Source organism: Homo sapiens, chromosome X (assembly GCF_000001405.40).
Source record: "Homo sapiens chromosome X, GRCh38.p14 Primary Assembly".
Classification (NCBI taxonomy): Eukaryota; Metazoa; Chordata; class Mammalia; order Primates; family Hominidae; genus Homo; species Homo sapiens.
Window position 1 is genome coordinate 25478592 of NC_000023.11, and position 12092 is coordinate 25490683.

Sequence of the window (12092 nt, forward strand, 5' to 3'; positions counted from 1 at the left end):
CTGCCACAATTAAAAGATTCCCGAGGTCCTCACAAGAAGCGGATGCTGGTGCCATGCTTCTTGTATGGCCTGCAGAACCATGAGCCAGATAAACTTCTTTTCTTTATAAATTACCCAGCTTCAGTTATTCCTTTATAGCAACACAAAACAAACTGAGATAGGTGATGTTTAGGTTTGGTGTATTAGTCTGTTCGAGCTATCATTACAAAATGCCAGAGACTGCTTGACTTAAACAACAGAAATTTATTTTCTCATGGTTCTGGAGGCTAGAAGTCTTGTGATCCAGGTGTCTGAAGATCTGGTTCCTAGTGAGGGCTCTCTTTCTGGCTTGTAGATGGCTGCTTTCTTACTATGTGTTCAAATGACCTCTTGTTTGTGCTTGTGGAGAGAGAACAAGCACTCTGCTCTCTCTACCTCTTATAAGGACACCAGCCCTATAGGATTAGGTCACCATCTTCATGCCCTCATTTAACCTTAATTACTTCTCACAGGTCCTTCCTCCAAATGTAGTCACATTATTTTGGGGGTTAAGGCTTCAACGTTTGATTTTGGGGGAGACTCAAACATTTGGTCCACAACTTTTGATTTGTGAAAGGGAGAGCCTGGAAAGATACTGGCTAGATTGGCAGCAATGAGGAGATGGGGAATTAAGGGAAATTTTGAAGGAGGATATGGGAAAAAAGATCATCAAAGTTAACTGTTGAATCCTTATTTGGGGAAGCCAGGAGAAGGAATTCAATTTTTAGGCTTTGTTTTGAGTACATTACTGTGAATATGCTTATAAATTTGTCTCACTTGGAACTCATGTTCCCTGGAGGGACTGTGAAGATAACATTATAAAAACTACCCACTGGGTAGATTTAGCTTATAACCTGCTTGGATGTTTTTTGTTCATTATATCATACCAACTGTTTGCACTTACATTGTCCGTGCCAGAGTATAAAGTTTAGAGAATGGTCCTATGTCCTGTTTAAAGTCATTTTTATAACTTTCAGGAGAGTATCTTCTACTTGTATATACTTTACAAGTTGAAGATGATGAATAACCTTTTGGCATCAGTAACTTAGAACTGTTTTGAAAAAAATGAAGGACGTTTATAAAAGAATAGGAGGCTATGAGTTTGGGTTGGTTGGGCTTTACTGAACCTGGGAAAGATAATATTGATGTTGTAAACATTGTTTCAAATATTATAGGAGCCTTAGAATAGAATCAAGGGGACATTTTTTGATGAGGGTAAGAGGATTTTCATGAAAATGAGAGATTATTCATTCTAAAGTTCTCTATAATCCAAGGGCTAGAAAACTTTGTAAAGGTACACATAGTAAATAGTTTAGGCTTTGCTAGTCATGGAGTCTCTTCTGCACTCCTCAACTCTGCCATTGTAGTGCAAAAATAGCCATGGACAATATGTAAATTAATGAGTATGGCTGTGTTTCAGTAAAATGTTATTTACAAAAACAGGCTTTGGATTGGCTTTGGCTCATGGACCATAATTTCCTGACCTGTGGTCTAACCCATTATGCAGAGTATTTTATAAATTCAGTCACTATTGGGATCACATGTTGAGGTAGATGAATGGCATATGTGGTTACTATGCTTTAAAGATTAAAGTTCTGCAATTGTTAAAGTTCTGAGAAAATTTAGCCAATTTATTTTTCAATAACCTAAGAACTTTCTTCTACTATATTATTAGGTGCTCGGTACCTTGAAGGTACAGATTGGGGTGATATATGAACTTGAAAAATTATCCAAATATCATTTTGGTCACCTTTCTTTTTCGTGTTTATTTTTTTAAAAATTATTTTTCAAGTTGACAAATAAAGATTTACTGCATTTATGATGTACAACATGATGTTTTGATATATGTTTACATTGCAGAAATCACACTTCTTTTTTTTTTTTTTTTTTTTTTTTTTTTTTGACGGAGTCTCGGTCTGTCACCAGGCTGGAATGCAGTGATGCGATCTTGGCTCACTGCAACCTCCGCCTCCTGGGTTCAAGTGATTCTTCTGCCTCAGCCTCCCAAGTAACTGGGACTACAGGCATGCGCCACCACGCCCAGCTAATTTTTGTATTTTTAGTAGAGATGGGGGTTTCACCATGTTAGCCAGGATGGTCTCGATCTCTTGACCTCATCATCCACCTGCCTCAGCCTCCCAAAGTGCTGGGATTACAGGCATGAGCCACTGCGCCTGGCCTAATCACACTTCTTTCTGACATCATTGACATCAGTAGCTAATCAGTGACCAAGTGGACTGACTTAAATTTAACTTATATTTTACTCATCTCAAATGCTTGTGTCTTTAAGATAACCTTCTGATATATCCTAATTAGAAAGAATGCCTCCCTTCTTGGCATTATATTTTACCTCATAACTATTTATGATGTTAAAGGAGCATTATGACATAGAGGTTATGAACATGGGTTTTGGTTTTATGATGTTCTGCAAGTTACTTAAACCTCTATGGATTTCACTTTCATCAACTATCAAATGGTGATAATAATAGCTTCCATCTCATAAGATTTTTTTTGTGATAATGACATGAGTTAATACACATAAGTAAAGCATTTAGAACAGTGATGACACATAGTAGCTGCTTAATAAAGTATCATCATTAGAGTTTTCCTATTACACTGTAAGTAAGTTCTTTGAGGGCAAGGAGTATATTTTGCTTTTTGATTATAAAGCAATTTTCATGGAGGATACTAATATTCAACATATGGTAGTTAATGTTATTACTGTTATCATCATTTGGTGCAAATAATCATTAACTTTTTGTTAAATTGAATAGCCTGCATTCCCCTGTTAATTCTTAGCAGATGTTAGCTTGTAGTAAAGTTCACAGTGTAAAGAGAAACAAGGTAAATAAAGGAACATTTAAAGGAATCTTACAAATTAGCTCAATTGCCTGTGAGCATTTTCCAAGAATAATTTATGAATCTATGAGGAAGGAAGAGTATCCACCTGAGCCATCTCAAGGTCTTTGTGGCTTAATATATTTGTTGGCATTGCTGCTTTTCATTTTTCTCAGTCTAATGGGCAGAGTAATAGCTATATTTGGGCTAACTTGAGTCAAAATATATGAGAACAGAAATTTATTAAATAGTCTCAATATCTACCAATACCTTTTTTCCTATCATACGATGCTGGTATCCCTGCTACTGGACCATCTTGATTACTATCTCTGATACTTATTAACTTTAATTCTGAGCTGATTTCCTACCCCATGGTAATTTCTTAATGAAATCACTGAGGTTCTTTACTTTTTCTTTTTCTCTCTCTTACTTTCAGATTCAGTTTTTCCCCCCAATTTGTGTTCAGTTTCACTCTATATTTGCATTAGTGCCTCAAACTTCACACAATATAGACATCTTTGTGAAGGCTTAAAGATTATTCACAGCTTTTTATTTATTCTCAAGTATCAGTATTTTTTTCCTTGTCCCTGGACTATTTCTTTATTAGAAAAACTTCCTCAGGCTATTCCTGAAAAATTTTAACTGCCTGAGCAATTGGGAGACTCCAGAGCTTCTAAAAAGCTGGTTGGTCAAGAATCCCAGGAATTCTATAATAGACAACCTTAGTACTGATTTTTCTTAAAATGTGCACATATTCCCTTGGGTTTATTATTCACTGGTTTTATAAAAATAAATCTTCCTACTTTGAGTGCCAAACTTAGAAATGAGCTTTGAATAAACAGTAATGTTCTGAGGCTCAGTTTATTTTCTTGTCAAGATCTTTAATAGCTCTTCTTTGTGTGTGCGTGTGTGTGAGTGCAGTTGACTATTATGATAAAATCCATCTAATTAGCTATCAATATTTGACAGAGTACTTTTTTAGCAGTGCCATTCATTCAACTCAACAGAGCAGTCATTTCAATCAAGGAAACCACACCAGCCATTCAAATGAGAGAATACTGCTGGAGCTGAGTTTCATCTTACTGGGCTCAATAAAGAAAATATAACTTCAGGGTTTCTATTAGCCAATATATCTCATTAATATTGTGACTGAGACTGTCAATATCCATTTGCAAAGCCATCAGTGTTTAGAACTTATCCTGAAGTGATAAGACAAAAGAGAAAACGGGCTTCATATTTGTAATTTTTTATGTAGCAACACGTAGATCTTTTATCAGATCAAATGCATATCACACACAGCCTCATAAATGCCATTGGCCTTTTTTTGTTATCTTATTTTTCATATAGGCAACTATGGTTCTGTTATTTAATTTATAGGAAACTCTGAGAAGGTTACTTCTCTGAGTCTTACTCTCATTATTCGCAAAGTAGGAATAATGACAGCAGAAGTGCCAATCAGTTTTGTTGCATAACAAGCACCGTATATCCAAGGTTTTTAAGAATGCACATTTATTTTGGCTTATATGTAAGCAGGTCAGCCGGGGTGAATCTAGGCTGGGCTCAGCTGGGCTTGTCTTCAGGCTCCAGGTTGTGTCTGCTCCAAATATCCCTCATTCTTCTGGGACCAGTTTTCTGGGACATAGTCTTTCGTGGCAGTGGCAAAAGCCCAGCTGTGCAAACACATTTCAAGTCTTTGCTTTCACCATGTCTGCTAATATCCCATTGATCAAAGCAAGTCACAAAGTTCAAAATCAGTGGGGCGAGGAAATGTTCCTCTACGACATGGGGTGGGGTAGGAAGTGAGTACTTTCTGAACAGTAATCTAATCTACCATACCTAACCTCTCATGATAATTAGGAAGATTCTACGAAATTAGGTATGTGAGAGCTCCTTGTCAGTTTTAAGGTCCTGTGTGACTATGATATTTATAAGTGCTCTGTCATTATAAAATTCTAGCAAGACTCCTTTTGATTTTGACCTACTACCCATTCCATAACCTTCAACTAAGAAAAGCCATATACAATGCTTGTTAGCAGCTGTTGACTTTGAGTACCGAGGTGTCATTGCACATTATTATAGTGGGAGGCTAAAAATCAGGAGTATCTATTACAGTCTAGGATGTTTAAACTGCTTCTTGGCTTACCATAAGACTTTAAATTCAAGGAGAAAGCAAGCTAAGGAAAGAGGATTACCTTTGAACAGTCTTCATGATAAAATAGTAGTAATTAGTTTGAGCAAAATCCTATATATATATAGCACTTTGCAGGAAAACCAAATGGCAGACAGATAAAACAAATTACTTTACTCAGGGTAATTAGCAAGTGATTATAAGGTTCTGCCTATGTTCTCTCAAGAATACAAAGATCATGCCCTGCTTTTCGAAGAACTTTATTCTGCTCAATACCTAATCCACCTAAAGTCACTACAAAATCTGACAGCAACCTCGCCACAAACATTGAACCACACCGAATACCTGGGAGACCACAACAATGCTAATTTAATGATGAGAGGGAGGAGGGAAGAGGAAACACGATGTTTTTCTTTTCTTTTATTATTTATTTATTTTGCCACCTTTGTTGGCCCCCAATTTGGATTTTTCTTCATGTAGGTATCACACGGTTCCTAAGAATTAAGAACCATATGTTTATGTACCAATGTCTAGGACTGTGAACTAAAATATTATTGTGTCTTTAAGTCCAGAGCATTTCATTTGAGAAAAATAACATCATTGAGAGAGAGAATTGTCCTCTGGATAGAGGTCATAGAAAATTCAAATTAATTTCTCATCAAAGATGACTCAGGAAAAGAGATAGTTCACATAATATTTTGACTGAAGGACACTGAAACCTTTCAGGATAATGTTGCTGCCAAATGACAAAAATAAGGCCTCTCCCATAAGTGGGGCAATATAACACAGCAATACAGAGTTCTATTTAGACATAGAAGCTATATGACCTACCCGCATTAAATACGGTGAACCCATATTTAATGTTTTGAAGTTTCTTTTTTTTATTATACTCCAAGTTCTGGGATACATGTGCAGAACATGCAGGCTTGTTACATAGGTATACACATGCCATAGTGGTTTGCTACACCCATCAACCCGTCATCTACATTAGCTGTTTCTCCTAATGTCATCCCTTGCCTTGCCCCCCACCCCGCAACAGGCCCCAGTGTGTGATGTTCCCCTCCCAGTGTCCATGTGTTCTCATTGTTCAACTCCCACTTATGAGTGAGAACGTGCGGTGTTTGGTTTTCTGTTCCTGTGTTAGTTTGCTGAGATTGATGGTTTCTAGCTTCATATATGTCCCTGCAAAGGACATGAACTCGTTCTTTTTTATGGCTGCATAGTATTCCGTGGTGTATATGTGCCACATTTTCTTTATCCAGTGTGACATTGATGGGCATTTGGGTTAATTCCGTGTTTTTGCTATTGTGAATAGTGCTGTGCTGAACATGCACATGCATGTGTCTTTATAGTAGAATGATGTATAAACCTTGGGTATATACCCAGTAATGGGATTGCTGGGTCAAATGGTATTTCTAGTTCTAGATCCTTGAGGAATCACCACACTGTCTTCCACAATGGTTGAACTAATTTACACTCTCACCAACAGTGTAAAAGCATTCCTATTTCTCCACATCCTCTCCAGCATCTGTTGTTTCCTGACTTTTTAATTTGAAGTTTTTGTTATAGAGATTTTATATAACCTTTCATTAAGTATTTATTCCTAAGTATTGTTTGTTCATAGAATTTCTCTTTCAATTTCATTTTCCAATAGTACATTACTACTATATATAAATACAATCGATTTTTGTACTCTGCCTTTGTATCCTATGACCTTACTAAATTTACTTATTTGATCTAGTTTTTTTGTAGATTCCTTTTGATATTCTAATACAGTCATGAAATTTAGGAATAAAGGCAGTTTTTATTTTTATTTCCAATCTTTATGCTTTTTATTTCTTTTTCTTGTATTCTTGCACTATTTAGTATTATTTTGTTTTATTTTATTTTGGTAGGAACTGTTAAATGAGACCTATCCTCTTAAAAACATTTTTGGATATATAATAAATTATTGTTGACTACAGATAGAATGTTGTCCAGCAGATTTCTAGAGTTTATTGCTCTTCCTGGACTGTAAGTTTATGTCCATTGATTAGTAACACTCAGTTTCTCCCTCCCTGAAGCCCATGGTAATCACAATTCCAACTCTTTGAATCTATAATTTGACTGTTTTAGATATCTCGTATAAATAGAATCATGCAGTATTTACGTCTGGCTTGTTTCACTTAGAATAATGTCCTCAAGGTGCATCCATGTTGTCCCATATTGCAAAATTATTTTCTTTATAAGGCTGAATAGTATCCCATTATGTATATAGTATCCAATTATATATATAGACCACATTTTCTTTATCCATCCATAGATGAACATTTAAGGTTTCTTTTTCACGTCTTGGCTGTTGTGAATAGTGATGCACTTAACATAGGAGTGCTGTTATGTTTTCAAAATTCTGATTTTAATCGTTTTTGATAAATTCCAAGAACTGGAATTGCCGGATCATATGGTAATTCTATTTTTAACTTTTCGAAGATGAAGACCTTCCACACTGTTTTCTACAGTGGCTGTACCATTTTACATTTCAACCAACAGTGTGCAAGGATTTCAATTTCTCCACATCCTTGTCAACATTTATCTTTTTGTTTTTGATAATAGCCATCCTGACACGCGTCCCATCACAAAGGAAGCAGTAAAATTGTTCCTGTTTGTAGACATTATAATCTCATGTATAGAAAACCATAAAGATTCCATTAAAAAGCTCTTAGAACTAATAACTGAATTCAGTAATGTTGCAAGATGCAAACTCAACATACAAAAATCGGTTGCATTTCTGTACATTAACAATGAACCAATGAACAATGAAGAAGAAATTAGAAAAATAATGCAGTTTACAACAGCAACAAAAAGAATAGAATACCCAGGAACAAACTTAACTATGGTGGTGAAAGACTTGTATATTAAAAACTATTAAACATTGATGAAATAAATTAAACAAGATACAAACAAATAGAAAGACATTCTGTGTTCATGGGTTAGAAGACTTAAAATTGTTAAAATGTATGGACTACCCAAAGAAATCTACAGATTCAGTGTGATCTCTATCAAAATCCCATTGGCTTTTTTTTTGCATAAATAGAACAAACAGTTCTAAAATTCATATGGTACCACAAATAACCAAATAAATCCTGAGTAACAAGAACTAAGCTTCAACAATCACAGTTCTTGATTTCAAAATATAGTACAAAGCTACTGTATTCAAAACAGTATGTGACTAACATAAAGACAGACATATAGACCAATGGAATAGAATGGAGAGCCCAGAAATAAATCCACATGTATACAGTCAACTAATCTTTGACAGGGTACCAAGACTACATAGTAGGGAAAGATAGCCTTTTCAACAAATGATGTTAAGAAAATTGGATGTCCACATACAAAAGAACAAAATTGGACTCTTATCTTACTCCATACACAAAATTAACTCAAAATGAATTAAAGACTTAAATGTAAGACCTGAAAACATAAAACTCCTAGAAGAAAACGAAGGAGAATCCTTTATGACATTAGTCTTGGCAATGATTTCATGGCTATGACACCAAAAGCACGGGCAACAGAAGCAAAAATAAACAAATGGGATTATGTCAAACTAAAAAGCTTCTGCAGTCAACCCGTATCTACTAAGAATACAAAAATTAGCCAGGCGTGGTGGCACGCACCTGCAATCCCAGCTACTAGGGAGGCTGAGGCAGGAAAAATCTCTTGAATCTGGGAGGCAGAGGTTGTAATGAGCTGAGATTGCACTGGCGAGACTCCATCCAAAAAAAAAAAAGCTTCTGCACAGCAAAGGAAACAATCAACTGAGTGAAAAGATAACCTACAGAATGGGAGAAAATATTTGCAAACCATATATCTGATAAAGGGCTAATCTTCAAAATATATAGGGAACTGCTACAACTCAATAGTACAAAAATGAATAACCAATTAAAAAATGGGGTAAGGGTTTGAATAGACATTTTTTCAAAAAAGACATAGAAATGGTCAACAGGTATATGGGAAATGCTCAATGTTACTAATGCAAATGAAATGCAAATGAAAACCAGAATCCAACAAATTTGATAAATATTTCTGTTATATTTTAAATGAATATAATGTTATTATATTGCACTTTTCCCCATGAAAACACTAGATATTATTCCACTGTTTCTTGGCAGTAGAAGGAGATAGCAGTCTGGTTTCTCCCATTTGTAGATGATTTGCTTTATCCACTGAATGCCTATAGGGTTCTTTTATTTCCTTAATTTAGTTATTACATCAGATTGTATCTTTGTGTTGAGTATCGTCTATCGTGTTTTTCAGAATACATTTTGTCACTGATTTGTAGATTTGGGTCTTTGTTTATTTCAGAATGATTTCCTGTTATTCTGTTTATTCTGCTCTCTTTCTGGTGCCGTTATCATCATCATCATCTTGACGTTGGATTTTCTTTGCCTGCCTTTATTCTGATTGCTCATCACGCATTTGCCTTTATCTTCTGGACTTTGTGTTGTTTTCTCATACTTCTTTTTCATATTGTTGACTCTTTCTCAGCAGAATGTATTTTACTTGCCATTATTTTTATTTTCAAGTTGCTTTACAATTCTTTTCCTCAGTTTTTCCAGATCACTTTTCATCTCTTGCTGTTTTATGTAGTATTTGAGCTATTTCTTCTAAGAGTCTATATTCCTTTACTTTTTTTGAGATTATAAAACGCTTGTCTGAGCTTTTCTTTAGTTTCTTGAGGATAATGCATCTGAAGTACATTTTTCATTCTGTTTGCTTACTATGTTAATTTACCCCCTTTTTTTTTAATAGTGTCTGTGTATGCAGGCCAAGTTGAACTTTTTCCGCTTCTTATCTGTGGGTGGGGTAAGACTGCCAGATTTAGCAAATAAAAACATAGGGTGTCCAGTTCAGACTGAATTTTAAATACATGTGGATACATTTTTAATGTTACAAGTATGTTCCATGCAGTATTTGGGACATTCTGATACTAAAATTCCATTTTAGTATAATTCTAAAGGGTACTTTTTCACTATATGTGCTTGTGTCACTTTCCTTGAGAGCACAGAAAGCTTATCAACCAGAGATCAACATGAACCGAATTGGAGCCTCTGAGCTAATAGGTCTTTGATTATTTAGTGTTTATTCATCTTTGTTGATAAGACTGCTGCAGAACCAATTGGTGTTTTCTCTTTCCTCCAGGTCTCACTTCTTTCAATTTGTAGTTTGGGTTAGAAATAGTATAGTAAAGTTGTGCAATCCCTTCATCAACCCACCTCCCATGACATTCATTTTATGACTTGGAACTGTTTGGACCTGCAGTTCCCACATAGCCCACCCATGCCTGTGATCTTCATTGGTCCAAATATATGAGTTTCAATCCAGCCTCTCAAGATTCTGTAAGGGAATCAAGGGCAGTGGAAGTGACTTTTGGCTTTCGCATCCTTCCTCGTTTAAGTCCAAACTTCAAGGAATTTTGGCATATATTGTTTACAAACTGTGAGTTGGGGTTTTTGCTATTTCCTGAATTTATATAGATTGGATTTTTAAAAACATATTCTGTTTTGGAGTTTTCAGAGAGAGGTGTAGAATAAACATACTTTTATTACAAAATATATCATAAATTTTTTGGATGGGTTCTGAAGGTGGATTTTGGTATCTCCAATAATAATAATAAATATTTATTGAGTATTTCATGTGAAAGTCACTAAATTAAGTAAATTTACGTGGGTTTATGCAAAACCATCCTATTACTGTGCTCATCAATTTACAGATAAGGAAGCAAAAGCTTGGAGAGTTTAGCTGACTTCTCCAAGGTTGTGCAGCTCTTAAATGACACAGACACAGGATTTGCATCTAGTTCTGGAATCCACTTATAACTACTACGTGACCCTACCTCTAATATCAGAGCAGTTACTGAAGAGAAAAACTTTTCAGTTTCCCAAATCACCAATGTTCTGGCATTTAGATGGTTAAAAAGTGATAGAGTGTCACAAGAATGGAGAAAAAGGCACTATAATTGGATAACCTGGTGGTTAAGTGGTTGGTGGAAACATGGTCTAAATGGGGCAATAGAAGGCCAAGAGAACCACTGTTTTGACTTCCTTATAGTGTGTCCTGTTACTCAGTTAAAGGCAAAGGTCATCTGAGATCTCTAAAAATCTCTTTTCATACACTTTCTGTGTTCAGTTTGATCAAAATAATTATCCACAAGCTGTGGAATGCCAGAAGCTCCATTTTCCAGTGGGGATCCAGCTGAAGAATCCTGGAGAGACCAGAAGTTCATGCTGAAAATTAAATATTTATGTAGCAACCTGGTGGAATTGACTCAAATATTGTATTAGCTATGTCTTATTACTCTGAAATAGAAATGAATACTAGAGATCTGTGCAAAGACCCAGGGCATGCTAGAATAAAGACAAGTTAGGAAAAAATCAGATCATCTGTGACCTACTTTGTCTGTACTTCACTGGGGAAAGGTCAAAAACTCTGTCCTGTGCCAGTGTTGCACTCATCCTTTCCGCAAACCCTTTCAAAAGAGATTAGGTTCCTATTACTTTATTACTGCAGTAAAATGTATGGCCAGAATTCTGTAATGAAAGAGCTGCTGCTACAGAAGCTGTAATAGAAGAAGCCGTAACTTAAGTGTCAGCTTGAAAAATTGCCATAAAAGCAATCTTTTATAGAGAAAATATCTTCTAGTTTCTTGTGCAGCATATGCACCATCAGATATGAAATGTCATGGACACTGACTTCTTTCAAGAATGGAAGGTTTTCACTCTTGTCTGTCTATCCTTGTTCTTTCTCTTTTGCGTCTCTCCTATGTCTCCTTCTCATTCATTTCAGAGTAGATTCTCATGTCCCTAAAAACTGGTATGATAGGAGAGGCACATCCATTTCTTGATTATTTCTTTTTACAGATCGTAAACTGTGTTTTCGTAATTATATGCAGCGCAGATGCAGGGACTGGATTTACTTTGGAGAAACAAGGTTACAGTCAGGGTCACCCTTCCTGAATTTTTATAGCAGACCAGGGGAATTTTTGTGATGTGATTTACTGACGTCTTCCAACGGACACTGTCTTTGCAGGCTAGAGAAACTTGACTCACAAGTTTTTATATGCCTGTATTGT